Raw genomic sequence first — 20,292 nt, 5'->3', positions numbered from 1 at the left:
CACCTCCACCAGCCAGGGCCCGGGGACTCCCGGTAGCGTCCCCGGCTACCTGGCGCCGTTCATCCTGGGCAGGGTCGGCCCCCTCTGAGGCTGCCCGGCATGAGGGAGCTGCACCCCTGAGCTTGACGTCTGACGGCCCTTTGTAATAGCATTAAGTCTTTGAAACTTTGTAGCGGGGTAGAAGGGGCTAGGAAACGAAGAAAACATCTTTTTAAAAATATAAGCGATCGGCTGGGCGAGGTGGCCCACGCCTGTAATCCCAGCACTTTGGGAGGTCGAGGCGGGTGGATCACGAGGTCAGGAGTTCAAGACCAGCCTGGCCAGCATGGTTTCACTGAAACCCGGTCTCTACTAAAAACACAAAAATTAGTTGGGCCTGGTGGCGGGTGCCTGTAATCCCAGCTACTCGGGAGGCTGAGGCAGAGAATTGTTTGAACCCGGGATGCGGAGGTTGCAGTGAGCTGAGATCGCGCCACTGCACTCCAGCCTGGGCAACAGACCAAGACTCCGTCTAAACAAACAAATATATGTGTGTATATACATGCGATCGAGCCCGGGAGGTTGAGATTACAGTGAGCTGAGATTATATAAGCGATCAAGCACGGGAGGTTGAGGTTACAGTGAGCTGAGATTGCGCCATTGCACTCCAGCCCGTGTAACAGAGGGAGACTCTGTCTCTAAAAAATTATATGCAAGTGAGAGCTTTTCTTCCAGCCCTCATGCTCAGACTGAAGAAAGTAATTGGGCCAGGCCCGGTGGCTCACGCCCCTAATCCCAGCATTTTGGGAGGCGGAGGCGGAAGCGGGTGGATCGCTTGAGCTCAGGAGTTCCAGACTAGTTTGGGCAACATGGTGAAACCCTGTCTCTACAAAAATACAAAAAATTAGTTGGGCATGGTGGCATGCACTTGTAGTCTCCGCTACTTGCGAGGCTGAGGCGGGAGGATCGCTCAGCTGCAGCCTCGACCTCTTGGGGCAATCCATTTCAGCCGCCCAAAGTGCTGAGATTACAGGAATGAGCCATCGTGCCTGGCTTTACACTATATTTTAATACTTTTTTTGAAAATGGAAAGTTTTACAGGCAATTCACTTCCTTCAAACTAATGATAAGGAAGTGATGCTGTTCTGTTCTGTTTTGTTTTTTGTTTTTGTGTTTTTTTTTCTTTTTTGAGATGGGGTCTTTGCCCAGGTTGGAGTGAGGTGGTGCAAACAAGGCTCACTGCAGCCTTGACCTTCGGGCTCAAGGAATCCTTCCCTGTCAGCCTCCCCGGTAGCTAGGACTACAGGTGCATGCTACCACGCTTGGCTAATTCTTTTTTTGAAATGGAGTCTCACTCTGTCTCCCAGGCTGGAGTGCAGTGGTGCAATCTCGGCTCACTGCAGGCTGGTCTCAACCTCTGACTTCGGATGGTCCACCCACTTCTGCATCCCAAAGTGCTGGGATTACAAGTGTGACCCACCGCGCCTGGCGATTTTGCTCATTTTAGATACTAGAACTTTTTAATTTAAATTTTTTTTTCACTGAGATGGAGTCTTACTTTGTCTCCAGGCTGGAGTGCAGTGGCGTAATCTCGGCTCACTGCAACCTCCGCCTCCTGAGTTCAAGCGATTCTCCTGCCTCAGCCTGCCAGAGTTGCTGGGACTACAGGTGCGCACCACCGCACCCAGGAGTTCAAGGCTGCAGTGAGCCATGATCGTGCCACTGCACTCCAGCCTGGGCAACACAGCGAGACCCTGACTCCACAAATAAATAAATCAACATCATATGATCTGTACCAGGGTATAGGCAGGTGCTATGATCCCCACTTTTCATCCTCAACTCTAAGTTGAGTCATACATCAACCTCTAGTAAAAAGTGGCATGCTCTCAGTCAAAGGGGTAAGCCCAAACCACGTGGAGAGAATCTTATCTCTTTTGAGAGCTAATATAAAAAGAATTCCTCCTAGGCATAAAAATATTGTGACATCAGTTACTTAGGCTAAACATGCCTATTATGCTAAGTGAGTTATTAACAATAAATACTTTAACTCTGTGCCATGTTAATTATCATAATCTGATTTATAATTTGTTTTAACCTTAGGTTATATATACCTTGAAGCCATTTATATTTTGGTATACTTGTAATAGTTACTATACACTGGACTATGTATATTGGACTAAACATGGAGAGTCAAAAAAGAGTATGTGGTCAGAGTAGAAATCATGCCCTAGCTTCCTTCGTGTCTACCTCCTACCTTGAGTAGAAGCGGTAGAAAAAGTAATTACCTAAGATTTTTTGGATTCTGGTTTGTGGAGAAGCACCCTTATATTTAGGCTGATGGGTGGCGAAATTAGAAAGTATTTTTTGTGATTTAGAATTTTATACGGAGATGTTCATTGTGATTAATTATTCTTTGTATTAGCAGATTTTTGCTTTTTATAGCTGCATGATTTCTTGTTTATTATTCATTCATTATTGTCTATTAATAAAGAAAAACTTTATTTCACTGAAGCAGTGATACATAATCCAACTTGGATTTTTAAATAATGACTGACTTTTTTCTTTGGGAATACATTACTGTTAAAAATGTAGATTATTAGATACATTACTTTTAATGAATATAAGTGGTATAATTAGAAGGCTGAAAAGAATCCTTGGAAACGTGAGTTTAATTTGATAGCTAAGAAACTGAGGACAAGATACTTATTCTTTGTAGCGTATTTTCTAATGTCATTTCATTGTCTCACCAAGAAATACTTGCATAAAGCAAGTTCAATTATAGCATCTGTTGAATATTTAAGGTTGGGTAAAGTGGGTGAGTTTAACAGATATTTTCCCTTATTTCTTTTAGGTGAATCTGGACTGGGAAAGTTGACATTAATCAACTCATTATTCCTCACAGATTTGTATTCTCCAGAGTATCCAGGTCCTTCTCAGAGAATTAAAAAGACTGTACAGGTCTAGATATTAGTATTTTTAATTGATGATAAGCTGGAATAATATTAATACACACAAAGCACATGTTGTAACTTTTATTATGCTTCCTTAGAGGTAAGATGCAAATTTGCCCTTAGCCAGTGTAAGATGGTAAATATGACTTCATAAAATTAAAAAAACAGAAGAAGTACAGTTAATCAAAAGAATTATCTTGACTAGAACTTTCCAAATTTGTCCTAAGGATTCTCCTAGAGATGACACTGTGACATAGTAACCAATTCCCCTGGAGTTGTGCTATGTCGTATGATAGTCATTTGCCACATGTTTAAATCAATTAAAATTAATTAAATTAAAATGCAATTTCTCATTTGCTCCAGATACATTTCAAGTGCTCAACAGCCACATGTGGCAAGTGGCTGCCATTTTGTGCAGCACATATATGAAGATTTTCATCATTGTAGAAAATTGCATTGGACAGTGTAGAGAAAACATGATTCATAGAAAAGCTATTGTTATTTAAATACAGTGTTCTATATTAGTCGGTGGGATAATACCATATCATAGTTGAATGGCAATAGCAATTCTGTAAGACTCCCAAGGTATATGTGATCTAATTTACTGCTTCTCAGTCTTTGCTATGAATTCCAATCCTGGGTATCCTGTTAAATTTAGTTCTTCTAGTAGTTCTGAGATGGGCTGCCTTTCTACATTTCTAACAAGATCCCAGGTGATGCTGATGCTGCTGGATGGTAGATCACACTTTATAAAGCAAGGGGCTAGACTCTAGATATGCACTTTTTATTAAATAGTACAGCAGCCTGTAGCCACATGTGGCTATTAATCTTTGAAATGTGGGTAGTCTGAATTGTGATGTTCTGCAAATATAAAATATACCACAGATTTCTAAGACTGAGCATGGAAAAGAAAATCTCCGTAATTTTTTATATTGATTGTATACTGCAGTGATAATATTTTGGATGTATCGGGTTAAATAAAATTGACTGATTTCACCTTTTTCCTATTTTAAAAGTGGCTACTAAGAAAATTTTAAATTACTTACATGATTGACATGGTATTTTTATTTGGCAGCGCTGCTCTAAGCTGTTAATGAAAAATATTGTTGGTGAGCTCTGCTTAGGTAATATATAGGACACGAGCAGAGAGGAGGCACGTGAACAGTTCTGGCGGGAGTAGGCTTCATTGAGGCCGTGATGCTTTTAGCTGGATTTGAAGAAGTGGTAGTGATCATCCCAGTGCACAGGATAGTAGGGCAGTCTATATATTCTGAGCAGTAACTCATACATATCATACTGCAAGACCCCAAAGGAGTAATTTTGTGAAGTAAATATCTTATTTCTCCTTTTTAATGTTTCCATTTTAGGAATTTTTTTTTTTTTTTTTTTTTTTTTAGTAACCTTCATAGGGCTTGAGATTTAAAATTACCTGCAAAATTCTACTCTAAAAACTTGATCCTACATGCTTATTTATTTTGTGATAAATATTGGAAATTTTAAACCTAAGTAAGAAAATGAACTTTGAACTATCTTAATTTGGGTATCTGTTATGAATACCTTCACTTAAGTATTTATGAATTTAGATATGAAAGGTAAAACTAACCACTATCCAAATTAATATACAGTTCATTTCCAGAACCCTAGTTTCTTCCATGTGCTCACTCTCATTCAGTATTACAACCCCCAAAGATAAACACCATACTGACTGCCTTCTCCATAAATTTGCCTGTTCTTGAACGTTATATACATATACTTTTTTGTATCTGTTTTCTTTCAGTGCAGATTATGTCTGTATTATTTACTCATGTTGGGTGTAGTTGTTTTTTCATCGTCGTATAATACTCCATTGTGTGACTGTATCAGTATATATCCTTTATTATTTATTGTAGATAAGCCTTTGGGTTTTCAGTTTTTTACTAACGGGAACATTCTTGTGTATGTCTTAGTAGACTTAGGCACTCATTGCTGTTGTGTGTGCATAAAGATATAGAGGTATTTGAGTTTATTTTATTTGATTTCTAGTGAGGTTGAACATGTCTTTTGTACTCAATAACTGTTCAGATTTCATTAAAGTGTTTTGGTAATCTTAATATTTTCTGTCATTTTCTTGCTGATTTATAGGAGTTTGAAAAATCTAATAATCCCCTACATTTTAGATATTGCAGACATTTTCTCCCCAGGTGAGCATCTGTTAAAGATGTGACATGCCCTCAATTTACTAGAATTCTTACATTGGCTTAGCTTCAAAATAAATTGCCTAAACCCATTTTACCTTCCTTTAAAGTAACACTTCAAAAATATCCTCTTCTGTTTTGAATATCTTCTCGGAAACTCTCTTTATCTTGAAAACAAAGGGGTAATGGAGGTGAGAATATCTCTGGTAGGATTTTTAAGACAGGCCTGTGCACCACTGTTAAATATCTTTTCTTTACCAAAAAGAAGACCTGTAGCATTTGAGAACCAGATTGATCCTTAGTAGAATCTTGTAGAAGTCCTCTTTCCTGATTGAACCATGGAGGTGTATTCCTTTATATACTGAAAACTAGCTGAAGATAATGTAAACTCTTTTGCCCAGTTAGGAAAGAACATGCCATATTACGGACAGGGTCAGAGTCATTCAAGAAGCCTGAATATAGTTAGAAAATGAGAATGTAATCTTTTTAATAGTTGGCTGGCTCCTTACCAAGCCCGGTCGTCTTGAAGATATAGGGGAAATAGTGTAAACGGTTGTCAAGATAAATCTAAAATGGAAATTAATCAGTTTCCTAGAATAGATTGAGAAATTAGCTTTAGGAAAAAGATAAATTTCACACACACTCTACCATGGAAGGTACAGTGCTGATTCAGACAGACTGGGAATGGTCTCATTTTTAAGTGGTGATGTGAGGTACTTCACTGAGCATTGTGACAGGCACGGGCTTGGGAAGAGCCTATTAGGAAATGGGAGAGGCATGAGATTAAGGAGCACATAAGAGGAATATTAGCAGAGAAATTCTTGTTGAGGTTGAAGGTCATGAATTTTATGGTATAGGAATAGAAAGATGGGTTAATCCAGAATGGGATTTGAGTTGGAAAGGGAAAGAAATAAAGGTTTTGGGAAGGAGGTTGCTAGTAGAAATTAAGAGGGGCAAGGGATTTGAGGCTCAGTGTAAGGAGACAGGGATATGAGGAGTGGAGAGGTTCAGAATAGAAAGCCAAATTAGAGTTTTGGGATCAACTTTCTTCTTAGTAAAGTAGTTCTGGGTCTTCATGAGAAGAAAGTATTCTTTAGGCATAACTGTTCTACTATTGGTTACTTCCTCTTTCATTTTCTTGTGGAACACGATGAAATATTTAAGATGATATTTGTCTTTTGAGCCAATAAATAAGGGAAATAGATAGTTTTTGTGTTTGAGCTAAGTGGAGTATCTCAGGCCATTCCAATGTCTTCAGAGTTTTGGCTGTAATGCTACCTCTTGAGCAAGTGTAGGTAGAGGTAAGCTCTTGAAAGAAAATGTTAACCCTCTCTTCAAAATGTTATATGCTTAATTAAATAACTTCTTAATTTACCTTAATAAATGGCACGTAAACATTAAGTTAGAAAAGGTTAGTGTATATGAAGCTGTATAATCAACATTGTTTGACTTTTTTTCCTCAGATTGTAAAACTGAAAACTCGGTATACTAATACTCTTGTATACTGTATACACTCAGTATTAGAAAATGAGTACCTTGGATTTCTGGAATCTCAGATTCCAAAAGAGGTCTCAATAGATGAATTATACATAGATGATTCATAGACGATAGTTTTAGTTTTATTTATTTTTCAGGGAAAAACAGTTGAAAATGCCCTTGATTCATTCTTTTGGTATTAGATGATGCAGCTAATCTTAGAGAACCCTGAGTGATGCCATAAAAGATGTTGATGTGACCTGCTTAAGGGAAGTGCGTGGGAAAGTGACCATTTGGAATAGATTTGTTAGAAAAGTTTGAAATTCTTGGACTTGAACTAATTTGTTTTCCATGGATCCCATGAGGATACTTGTAAAAGCAGATGATAGGATACAGTTGGATCCTGTGAATGGCACTAGTTTACAGTTATGTTTTCTGGATCTCTTCCATATGTCGCTGACTTCTTTGTATTTGACCATGTATGGACATACAGAATTTCATAGGCCAGAGAAGAAAAGAAGCTTTATAAACATTCCTTATGTGTGTAAAATACAAATCTTCATTTGTCTTAGCAAGTCAATAAGTAATTAAGTTGTTGGACTGATTTTTTTTTTTAAACAGGGAAATATCTTAAAATTTAAGCTGTTAGGTTAAAATGTGTATTTGGTATACAGCATATTACTGAAGGTAGAATGGGCTTCATTTGGTAATAAAGGAACCAGAAATATTTTTAAGTAAAATTGGGAGATGATTCATGTAGATTAACTATGTTGTTGTATCACTTTCTAGAATACAGTACTATGTTGTTTAAAAGAGTAAGTACGTAAAGGAGTGGTATAATTACTTTGGATATTTCTGCTTCAGCCACAGTTACCATGAATAAATGATCTGTCTTTATAAAGGAGAGGGAGGTGAATTCAAGATATTGAGATGTTAGATTTGACTGGGTTGTCCTTTGACTAGAAGATCACCAGATAAAGAAAATGTAAACTACCTAAACCAGATAAGATGATATTGTTAAAAATTTTTTTTGGCCCAGCACTTTGGGAGGCTGAAATGGGAAGATTGCTTGAACCCAGGAGTTTGAAGCTGCAGTAAGCTATGATCTACCATGCACTCCAGCCTGGGCAACAGAGTGAGACCCTGACTAAAAAAAAAATTTTTTTTCCTTTGGTTCTCATGATTTCACACTGATGAATCTGATTGTTTTCTCTGAGTCATTTTGCCTCTCTCATGTTATTAGGGTAACCTGATAATAGACATGTTATCTTAGTTATGTGGTATGTAACAGTGATCTTCTAAATGATGTGCATCCATCACTGATGCTGAGGATGATCAGAAACTATTACAACTCTTATTTATTGATGTTTACTTTTAATCTACAGATAAATGATAATACATATTAATACTTAATATTCAGATTGCCAATAATATATATTTGGTGGGTAAATATCTTTTGGATCTGCAAAATTTTCACTGATAGTTTGTATCAGGATCAAAGCAGTTTCAAGAACATTAATCTAAAAGATAAGACTTTGGCATCTCATTTCTCTAAAAGATAAGTCATGCATGTCCACATCTCAGGCAATTTTTTTCAGTTTTATAAGTTTTATTCTTGATAATAAAATTCTTTTAACAGAAAACTCTTGATTGCTATAGACCTCTGCTGTGTATTCAGTAGTCACTAGCCACATGTGGCTATTTAAGTTAATTCAAATTAAATAAAATTAAATATCAGTTCCTTATTTGCACTAGTCAGATTTTAAGGAGTAAGTAGCCACATGGGCAAGTGGCTACCATATTGGACAGTGTGGATACACAACAATTCCATCATCTCAGAAAGTGTTATTGGATAGTGTGGCTACAGACTTTTCTTGCTCAGCAATCTTAGTCTCCGCATGTTAGTCTCTTCATGCATTAGGTAGCATCTATAAAACATGCCAAAAGGAAATAGGCTATCTGTAAAAGTGTCCCAAACTTTTTGTCTTGTAAATTAGCTTATCAGCATACTTGGAGCCTCTTGCCTTAATAAGGACTTGATATAAATATGTATCAGGAGAAAGCCTATCTTATGAAGGAATTATTCCCTTTTTATTTGAATCCGTGTTTGCTTTATCTTGGGCTCCTGAAAACTGATACTTTGCATTTAATAGCAGCATATGCCCAGGATGAATGATAATACATCTTCTGATACAGAGCTTGAGGTTACAGAATATCTTAAATTGTTCCAGGAACTGTTGTTATCATTTAAGTCCAATAATCAGTAAGGTTTCACCCTACCAGAATACACTTTTTTTTATTAACTGTCTGGACTTTTGCTGATTACATTGTCCAGAATGTGGAGTATCGCATTTGAGAAGAGGATTGGATCCTAGCCATAACATAAATATAAGGGTAATTACATCCATGCTGAGAAAGATTTAGGAATGATAGTAAGTTCACTTGAGTGAGTGGTTTGGGCCAAACTTGATAGAGAATAGTCCAGGAAGACATTTACTATAAACAGTAGATTAAATGTTCTTGCCTGATTAATTACATTTGAACTCTGTGAATGACTGAATCACTCAATCTGCTTATTTGTATTATTAGATGCACATTTAAGTTATGTATTACATGTCTTTAGTGGTGATCACTATTTTATCAGTTCCTCTGTCTTTCTTTATACCAAGTATGACTCATAAACCCAGTATTAATTTTCCAAGAGATTGGCATACTATTTGTATATACGCTTTTCTTTCAAATAATCTGGATTCCCAATGCCCACAATCATTGATCCTAAAGAAAATGTGGGAGTAGGTAGATAAACTCAAACATCCCTACCATCACCCCTGGTAGGAAATCACTGGTGTAATGTATGATACTAACATCTGCACCAATTACTCTTATAGGTGGAACAATCCAAAGTTTTAATCAAAGAAGGTGGTATTCAGTTGCTGCTTACAATAGTTGATACCCCAGGATTTGGAGATGCAGTGGATAATAGTAATTGGTAAGAAGGATTTGTCCTCACAACTTTCCAGTGTATTTGGGGTACTGGGGTGGTTAAACTTTCTCTTCTTAACATTTTAAAACTCTTCTTAGCAAAGGTCACCAAACTTCAAGTAACATGACAGGTTTGTATACCAGCTTTGCCACTTATTTGACAAAGTTTAACTTCAAAGTTAAACAAAGAAGTTTAACTTCTTTGAACCCATTTACTTTTCTATAAAATGGAGATAATACCTATCATAAAAATTGTTTTTAAGACATGTTCCAAAATAACGTAGCTAGATAGAAGAATTCTCATTATTGTAAGAAATTTAAAACTGTTTGCTTTAATTTTATCCATTTGTATAAATTCTATCTCAATCCTAATTTAAACCTGATATTTAGACCTTCAGTTTTTCCATAAGTCCTAAGTGAAGAAAACAACTATGAAATTTTAGTCTGAAGTAATTATCTTAGTATTTTATAAATAACTTTTATTTTTGTTTGAATTCACATTGTTTTTGAGGTATTTTTCTGTCAACTCTTAAAACTCCTAAGTTCATCATGAAGTTTTTATATTATTTAAAGTAATCTCTCATTTGAAATTTGAAACTGAATATAATTGTTTTCATATTATGAAGTGTGTTATTAATACACTTACTAGTGCCAGTAATATGCTAATAATTTAGCTGTGTTTCAACAATAAATATTTTCTTTCATTTGGAAAGTTTTGAAATAATAAAGATTTATTCAACATAATTTATATTTTTGAATCTTTATATAGAATAACTTGACATGTCTTCCATTGGTAAATTCATTTTGCCTATTTGAAAATATTGATTATTGTTCTTTAACAGTCATCAGTTAATTCATATATAGAATTGCAACTTAATTGTTTTGTTTATTTGCATTCTATAGCTGGCAGCCTGTTATCAATTACATTGATAGTAAATTTGAGGACTACCTAAATGCAGAATCGCAAGTGAACAGATGTCAGATGCCTGGTAACAGGGTGCACTGTTGTTTATACTTCATTGCTCCTTCAGGACATGGGTCAGTAACCTGATACTTCTGATTCCTTTTTGTTGTTGTTGCTTACTGTTACCTTTATGTGCATATTTGAGTAATCTTTAAGTTTGTGAAGTACATACAACTATACCCATTATTAAGTACCAAATTTCATGTAGAAATGTCTTAGTTGAAAAGCCTTTTTAAGTCCTGTGTAAGCTAACAGTGATTTTACTCCTTAGTTCTTCATTCATGAGGATTTTCCCTGCTTCATGGAAATAAACAGTGTTGCCACCATGGTTTGAGGTCTCAGTGTGGCAAATTTAGCTTTCATGTTGAACTACCAAATAAAGAGAAGCAGCCAAACCAGTTAGACATATTCAAAATAAATCCAAAGATGCTATTTATTATAAGTCTCATAAGAGATGGTTATCAAAAGCACTTGCATGCCAATGTTTTCTTGTGCCATTTCTTTCTGCAAGAAATCTGTTTGGCTTCTGTTTCACCTTAGCTGTCATAGACATGTCGTTTAAGTATCATATTGTCAGTACTAACCTTTTGTTTATTAGGACATAAGATCTAAGAATCTAGACATTAATCTGATGTGATTGTTCTGTTTGTTATAGTTAGCCTGTACTCCCTTTTTTTGTTCTTCGTACTTCCCCTTTCATTTTGAGTACATATATGTGTCATTTGTAACTGCAGATTTTTCCAATTATTCTTCCTCAGTCTTTTCCTTTGGGTAAGTAACTCAGCATACATAATTCAGCCACCTGGTGATTGTAACTCCACCATCTCTCCACCAAAAGAACTGTAGTAGCATCAGGCTAAATAGCATTAAGTTATCTAACACTCACATTACAGTAGAGTAAACCAATTCCTTCAGGTATACCTTTCTCTTCCATTTTTGGCTTCTCGCTCTCTTTTTTTTGTTTGTTTTTATAGATGGGTCAATGCCCATTATCACTGTAGATGGATAAGGGAGCCTTAATTATATACTTATATTTTTGCACTGTCAGATTGGAGTGGGGTAAAAATGTTTCTTCTTTTATGTCTAATACTCTTGTTTTTTTTTGTTTTTTTGCTGTGCCCTAGACCGTTACATAACTGAAGACTCCCACCTTCAGGCAGGATTGGGTAGTACATGTTTGTAACTACCTGGCATTGCCTTTTGTTGAGGTAATTTCAGTTTTTATTATTATTATTAGTAGTAGTAGTATACTTCTACGGTATATGTTCACAATGTGCAGGTTTGTTACATATGTATACATGTGCCATGTTTGTTTGCTGCACCCATTAACTGGTCATTTACATTAGGTATTTCTCCTAATAGTATCCCTCCCCCATCCCCCACCCCACGACAGGCCCTAGTGTATGATATTCCCCGCCCTGTGTCCAAGTGTTCTCATTGTTCAATTCCCACCTATGAGTGAGAAACACCTATGCGGTGTTTGGGTTTCTGTCCTTGCGATAGTTTGCTCAGAATGATGGTTTCCAGCTTCATCCATGTCCCTGCAAAGGACATGAACTCATCCTTTTTTATGGCTGCATAGTATTCCATGGTGTATATGTACCACATTTTCTTAGTCCAGTCTATCATTTTATGGTGTTCTCAGTTTACATATTTAAATCACTAAACTGACTCTTTGACTTAAAAGGCTCAAAAAAAGTCATCTCAAAAATACAACACACTGTATAACCTTTTATAAGTATTTGTGTAGCTTCTTGAATTTATATTTTTAAATCATTCTCATTTAACTTGTCAGGGCCTTTTCCTGAAAGCCAGCAGAGTGAAATCTTAACCTGCAGTTAAGTCAATAAAATTTGTTAGCTTATAACCAATTTTATTATTTTAGATTTTCCGAACTCTCTCCAACTAGGGTAATTCTCATGAAATCACATTCCTGCCATCCCTTTGGGGAAAATTTTATTTCTTAAAATTGCATGGGAAATGAGAGCTTTTTTAAAAGAAAAAGATTTTTATATTCAAATGATATGTAGTGGCTTTGTGCCATTTCTTATTTGTCACAAGGGGTAAGATGTTTAAAATTGCTATATCTTATATATAAAAATGTACCTTTGAATAATTTCTTAGTTTAACTATTTTTAGAAATGAAGCAAAGTTTTGCCCATTGGTACATGATATTGTGGATTAAGTGAAAGAATATGAGGCTGGGCATGGTGGCTCATGCCTGTAATCCCAGCACTTTGAGAGGCTGAGGCAGGCGGATCACCTGAGGTCGAGAGTTCGAGACCAGCCTGACCAACATGGAGCAACCCCATGTCTACTAAAAATACTAAATTAGCTGGCCGTGGTGGCACATGCCTGTAATCCCAGCTACTAGGGAGGCTGAGTCAGGACAGTTGCTTGAACCTGGGAGGTGGAGGTTGCGATGAGCCGAGATCACACCATTGCACTCCAGCCTGGGCAACAAGAGTGAAACTCCATCTCAAAAAAAAAAAGAATATGACACAGAATTTTATGTATAGAGTTCCAGGTACCCTGCTCACTACAGACTGAAATTCTATGCAGTCTAGTAAATGAATCAGAGCCTTTCCATCTTGTCTAGGTAGTCCCTAGGTTCCCTTTTTAGAGGGTTTTGTTTTTAGAGTGATTATAAATTCGTCCAACAGTGCACTTTCAGTGCCTCCTACCTCCCTCTACCAAGTATGAACTGCATGCACGGCTGATTTATGATTTTGGCTATTATCGCTTCATGTGTGTTCTTCACTATTTTGTAACTGTTATTAAAGTAAAATACTGACTTGGAACATGAATTTTAAAATGGTGTTTTATCCTTCTAGTATTGATTCCCACTTTTAGAAAAATTGGTGTCATCCAGTGAGTTTTATACAGAAGGATTTTTTCCCTTAGAAATACATACATACAAAAAAAATTTGTCACTTTCCCTGTAGTTGTTTATTATGCTGTAGAATTTGAGGCTAAATAGTCTTTTCTCTCTACTGTGGGTTTATCTTCTAGAAATGATAAAGGATTTTCTATTTCTTAAAAACAAGATTTAAAGACTAAATTTGTTGATGAAAAGACTAGCCAATATAAATCTAAATGGACAGAGGGAAAAAATTCAACCGGAATGTAATACACATGTGAACTAAATGTTTTCTGTTGCTGACGTCTTGTAGGCTTCTGAAATTTAATGAGACTTTTACAAGGTTTACCTTTTTTCCTAAAGTTTAATTTCTAAACTGACTTAAATGTTTTTTGACCCTTTGGTTATATTTAAGAAGTTGACTTCTCTAATTTCCTTGTCACGTTTATTTTTAAATATCTTTCTCTTTAAAAGTTGGGATACTATAATAAATATTCAGCAAGTATTTTGCATTTAAAGATAAAATCTTCTTATTTGGATTTTAATACTTTATATTAAATGCCTTTAAGATTTATTAAAATTTTAGGTTAACTGAACTCTGCTTTTTTGTCACTGGATTAATAAGCAGGCTTGTATCTGACATAATAGCTTAATAAGGCAGTGACAATTTAAATTTGTCATGAGTATAAATTGAAAAATCATAACAATTTAGAAATCGGAGATTGAATATTTCATGGCATTTATATTTAGTGTTTTATATAATGATTAATGAAAAGAAGCAAAACTTAAATTTTTTTTCAAAGATGGATAGGTTCAGGCCAGATGCAGTGGCTTACTCCTGTAATCCCAGCACTTTGGGGACCAAGGCAGGAGGACCATTGCTTGAGGCCACAGACTAGGCAACATAGTGAGATCCTGTCTCTACAAAAATTTAAAAATTAGTTGGGGCTGGGCGCAGTGGCTTACGCCTGTAATCCTAACACTTTGGGAGGCTGAGGCAGGTGGATCACCTGAAGTCAGGAGTTCAAGACCAGCCTGGCCAACATGGTGAAACCTCGTCCCTACTAAAAATACAAAAATTAGCCGGGCATGGTGGTGGATGCCTGTGATCCCAGCTACTCGGGAGGCTGAGACAGGAGAATCACTTGAACCCGGGAGGCGGAGGTTGCAGTGAGCCGAGATTGCGCCACTGAACTCCAGACTGGGCAATAAGAGCGAAACTCAAAAAAAAAAAAAAATTAGTTGGGCATGGGGGTGCACTCCTGTAGTCCTAGCTACCCAGGAGTCGAAGTGGAAGAATTGGAGGCTATGGAGAGCTATGACTACACCACTGTACTCCAGCCTGGGTGACAGAGCAAGACCCTGTCAAAAAAATAAATAAATAGAAATGGATAGGTTCTTTTAGTTAACACTAGTGAGGCAAGAACACAGTTTACAGATAATCTAAACAGTGTTATTCCATCCACACACTCTTTTTCATTGTGCTCCCTATTCTCTGAATGCCAGTGTCAAATTTCAAGGGATTTAAGATAAGGAGAATTAGAATAGGAGGCAACTATCTTAATTCTCCATATTTGCATTCTCCCCCTCACTGTCTCTGTCTTTCTGCCTGTCAGCCTTACCGCCACAGTGAAGTATATGCGGTAATCTTTGTTAGTAAAAAGGACTGGACTATCTTATTAGTTTTAGGGCCCTAATCCCCCCAATTTTAATATATATGTTTCTCTTTCTTCATTTTAAAATGTGAGTCAATTCAATTATTAGTATTAGTCAATAAAATTAATAACAGAATGAGACTTTTGTTTCATTTTTCTCATGTTTTTATAAAAGTTAATGAATACCTCCGGGCACGGTGGCTCACGCCTGTAATCCCAACACTTTGGGAGGCTGAGGCAGGTGGATCAGGAGGTCAGGAGTTCGAGACCAGCCTGACCAACATAGTGAAACCCAGTCTACTAAAAATACAAAAAAATCAGCTGGGCATGGTGGCGGGTGCCTGTGATCCCAGCTACTCAGGAGGCTGAGGCAGGAGACTTACTTGAACCTGGGAGGCGGAGGTTGCAGTGAGTCGAGATCATGCCATTGCACTCCAGCCCGGGCAAGAGTGTGAGACTCCGTCTCAAAAAAAAAAAAAAAAAAAAACAGTCAAGGAATACCACTTTAGAATGATAGTCCTTTGCAAAATATTTCTAGTATCTTCATTTATTCTTGTGAAACATTAAATTTTAGTCCACAGTATATTCTAGATTTGAGGACTTTGATTCTCATTTAGAATTACTAAAGGAAAATTACAGCAGCTTACTTTTTTTGTCAACAAATATTTGGGCACCTTCTCGAGTGTTAGATACCATGCTAAGTGCTGAGGATACAGATGAATGAGATAAAGCCCTCACTGTAAAGGGTATTTCAATGAGAAGATGGGAGAAACAAATACAGATGCTCCTTGACTTGGGACAGGGTTACATAAACCCATCATAAGTTGAAGATACGTTTGATATACCTTGCCTACTAAACATTATAGCGTAGCCTACAGTTGGGCAAAATCATCTAACATAAAGCCTATTTGTAATAATGTTTTGAATATCTCATGTAATTTATTGAATACTGTACTGAAAGTAAAAAACAGAATGGTTGTATGGTTTCTATTCAATGCGTATTGCTTGCACACTATCAAAAAGTTGAAAAATTGTTAAGTGGAACCATAGTTGGTGAGGAACCATCTGTATGCAGGCAGGCAGTTACTGTACAGCACATTAAGTGTTGTGACCACATAGAAATATGCCTAGTCTTAGGTTAGAAAAGGATTCCCAGTGGAAATTGGATCGTAAGCCAGTGTCCTAAAGGATGAATAGGAATTAGCCAGGCCAAGGAGAAGGAGGATGAGAATGGAGGGTGTTCCAGCCAAGGTAATAGCCTGTGGCCAGATGCCAAAGTATGGTGCTTTTAAGGAATTGTAAGAAGTAAAAGTAAAAGAAGTAAAAGGCTGGCACATTGGAAGTAGGAGGCAAAGGAAAGGCCAGGAATGCTAAGAGATGAGGTCAGCTGGAGAATCTAGGTCTTCACAAGCCTCGTAGGCCATACTAGTTAAGGCATCTGGTCTTGATAAGATTTTTGGTCAGGGCATAACTCAGTAAGATTTGGATTTAGAAAGACCACTCTGACTTTAGTATGGATGGTTTGTATTATAGTTATTCATTCCAAAGGTCTTGGTGGCCTAGACTAAAGTAATGGAATTGGAGATATGCATACATACATATATACATCTATACACATACTATATATATGGGAAGAGGATTAGAGGAGGGGAGGAATGCTAGGTTTCACACTTGAGTAACTGGGTAGACTGTAGTGCCATTCACTGAGATAGGAAGCACAGAAGAGGGAAAATGGGGTTCAGACGAGCTTTTGATTTTAAGGAGCCCATGGAACACCTGGGTAGCGTATCCACTGGGTAAACACAAATGTGGAACTTAACAGTAAGATATGGGCTGCGTATGAAGATTTGAGAGTCAGTCGACCAACTGAAGATAATTGAAATCTAACTGGGGATGTGAAGAATCTTGTTCTCTCAAACTGATTAATTCAGTCATATAAAATACGTCTATTTCAGACTTAAACCATTGGATATTGAGTTTACAAAGCATTTGCATGAAAAAGTGAATATCATCCCACTTATTGCCAAAGCAGACACACTCATGCCAGAGGAATGCCAACAGTTTAAAAAACAGGTGAGCAGGATGTGTTAACTCAGGTTTCTTATACCATTCTCATAATTTGCAGGTTTTACTATTTTTAGTATAATGTGTTGCAATCCATTCCTCTTACTGCTTTACTGTATTGTCATTTATACTGTATTAAAAATAACTCTTGAATCTTCTGCCTTAGTTTTCCCCTCAAAGCTCTTACCCATTGTCATAGTATCCTTATCCTTTGTCAGTTTTTAAATATGGCTGTTTTAAGTTTTGTTTTTTTTTTGAGGCAGAGTCTCGCTGTGTTGCCCAGGTTGGAGTGCAGTGGCATGATCTCGGTTCACTGCAAGCTCTGCCTTCTGGGTTCACGCCATTCTCCTGCCTCAGCCTCCCGAGTAGCCTGGAACTACAGGCACCCACTACCATGCCTGACTAATTTTTTGTATTTTTAGTAGAGACAGGGTTTCACTGTGTTAGCCAGGATGGTCTCGATCTCCTGACCTCGTGATCCACCTGCCTCGGCCTCCCAAAGTGCTGGGATTACAGGTGTGAGCCACCACACCCAGCCTTAAGTGTTCTTTAATAACACCTCCACACAGATAATTTTGACCCATACTCTTTAGAATTATTTTCTTAGAATGAATTCCCAGGAAGAGGATTATTCTTTCAAAGGCTATGATTGTTTTTATGGGTCTTTATCTTCCCCACTCCCCATTTTGTCATGGTGCTTTCCCAATAAAACAAATTCATTTTATAAAGCGTACATCTGTTTCACTGTGACTTTGCCAGCATTGTTTGTTATTTTTATTTTGAAAACCTTTTTGGAATAAAGTGGTACCTAATCATTTCTTTATCTTTTCCTTTTATTTTCCAGAAAGGCTGAACATTTAAAAACAAAGTTTTTTTTTAACTTTTTGTAAACACCTGTTTAAATCCTTTGTCTTTTTGACCGGTAGTACTTGGTATTGCCCGTATTTATTGATATGGGTTCTTTTTATTCTGGGTATTTAGTTGTCTCTCATTTTCACAATATTTTTTATGTTTTCTCTTTTGCTGCTTATATCCTAATTTTGTTTTCAGTGCACTTTATGGGATATTTATAGTTTAAGTTATTGTTCAAACCCGTGACCCTAAGATTAAGAGTCTCATGCTGTATGACTGAGCTAGCTGGAAGACCACTAAACTGTTTTTCTAGACTCATGTCTAGTTGTCTCAATAATATTGAGTTATACAGTCACACATATTTCTAATTTAATTGTGTTTGGTTCATTATATATTACATTTTATGAAATGTAGGGTCAATTCTGGAAACTTTCTCTATTCCAGTAGTCTTTATTTTCAGCCAGTATTATATTGTTTAAACCACAACAACTTTGTATAATATTTAAAAATAGATGGTAATTATCTCTATTGTCCATATAGTCCTGTTGTAACAAAATATTTTGTTTTTCACCTTTTTCAATATGCATTTCAGAATACCTTGAAACCTGTTATAAAAAGCCTGTTAAAATTTGCTTTGAAGTTACGCTAAATTCATATAAATTTTCAGAATGTTTTAGTACATTGTTTTTACTGTATCTAGTATTTTTCTGTTTTACACTTATCCATTCCCATTTTTATTTTGTAATGTGCTATTTCTAAGTTTCAAGTACTATAATACATTTCTCTTCTTTTATTATATATTTCTATTTGGATTTTTACTGATAACTTTAAGGTAAAAAAAGATGAATATGAAGTGACGTCTTCTTTCAAATTGGTCACATTCTGGTGGTTGTACTCAGGTCATTTTAATATACAACCTCTGACTAAAACCACTGCTTTTAAACCTAGCTACAATTATTCGTTTTTCTCTTCATTATGTATATGTTGCCTCATTTATTCTGTTTTTTTTTTAATATATATGTAGGTACATACCCTAATTATAAAAGATATGTGGTCCTATTTTTCTTCAGTGACAGTTTTACTTCTGTTTACTTCTATCTAGTATAGTAACCATGTAACACAATTTGTTCAGGGTCCTTTTATAGCTGCTGGGAAGCTTTGCCATGAAAATTGCACCAAAATATAAGTATAGGCAGGGAAGCTAGTTTTAGGTATATCAGCCATTGGTTTGTTATGGGCTCAAAGAAGGATAGGTAGTTGAAAATTATTTGGATGTCTGTATTCTGTTTAGAATTTGGAGTGGTTTTGGACATGATAATTTAATTTGAACTAGGTCATTCCTGATGTTATTAATAAGTTGTCTTCTTTAGTTTTCTGCATTCTTATTAATTCTTGATTTCTAGGGTGTGTTTTCTCCCTGTGTCCTCCCCTAATCTTATACCTGCTGCTCCTCAGTTTGTGTGTATGCACATGTACATGCAAGGATTTTTCTGATGAATGTGCAGGGGGCAGTGTTGTACTTAGTTTCACTTTACTTTTGCCAGATTCTACTAAAAATTTTAGGTGAGTTTAGCCCTGTTTATTCAACTAAATAAGATACTTGGAGATTTATATCTAAAGGAAGAATCTCAGTCATTGTAAATAAATGACCTAAAGTCATTATTCTGGAAATCAACCAGAGAAATTCCTTTCTGGAGTTTTACATCTTTTTTGGAACTCTTTTGATATGATAGCTGTATGACTTCAACACTTCTGAAGTAATTGGATTTGGTGTTTATATATCAACTTTACAGTTTAAAAAAAAAAGACCAGCATAGTACTTTGATTTTAGATTACAACTTTGCATCATTAAAAAAACAGTAAAGGATGTGGAAACAAGGAGCCATATAGGAATCTAAGAAGCATGTAATAAACATAAGACTAATGTACTAATTATGTATGGTGCTCTTTTGCTGACTACTTCCATTTTAGATAAAGAAATCCAAGAACATAAAGTTAAAATATATGAATTTCCAGAAACAGATGATGAAGAAGAAAAAAAACTTGTTAAAAAGATAAAGGTAGGTTCATCCCTGTACATACACTAAAGTAATCTGAGGCCTTAAAAACATACTACAGCGTCCACAGGAAAGATCAAAAGTATCGGTGTTTTAAGTAGTTGGCTTACAAAATGCCTAGGGAGATTTAATGTTGAATTCAACTTTATAGTTAACTTTGAAGATTAGCTAGTATATATAACAAGCAATTGTGTAAACTACTGAGGTGAATAACACAATCCTTATTTCAAATTGTTTTTAATTAACTGGCTTTCATATTATGTAATTTTTTCCCTCTT

At 36.2% G+C, this 20,292-nt stretch overlaps 1 pseudogene across 1 annotated transcript in view; it reads left to right on the top strand.

Moving 5' to 3' along the window:
- The window catches only part of SEPTIN7P2 (septin 7 pseudogene 2), a 45,232-nt pseudogene that overhangs the window by 376 nt on the left and 24,564 nt on the right, over nt 1–20,292 (top strand). Inside the window, exons 2-6 of the transcript NR_024271.1 lie at nt 9,469–9,569; nt 10,466–10,600; nt 11,651–11,734; nt 16,997–17,114; nt 19,929–20,017. The product of NR_024271.1 is annotated as a septin 7 pseudogene 2 (transcript). The remainder of the gene's footprint in view (nt 1–9,468; nt 9,570–10,465; nt 10,601–11,650; nt 11,735–16,996; nt 17,115–19,928; nt 20,018–20,292) is intronic.

This window comes from Homo sapiens, chromosome 7 (genome assembly GCF_000001405.40).
Source record: "Homo sapiens chromosome 7, GRCh38.p14 Primary Assembly".
NCBI classification, from domain to species: Eukaryota; Metazoa; Chordata; class Mammalia; order Primates; family Hominidae; genus Homo; species Homo sapiens.
The sequence above is the reverse complement of the archived record's forward strand: the minus strand, read 5'-3'. Positions and strand labels throughout refer to the sequence as shown.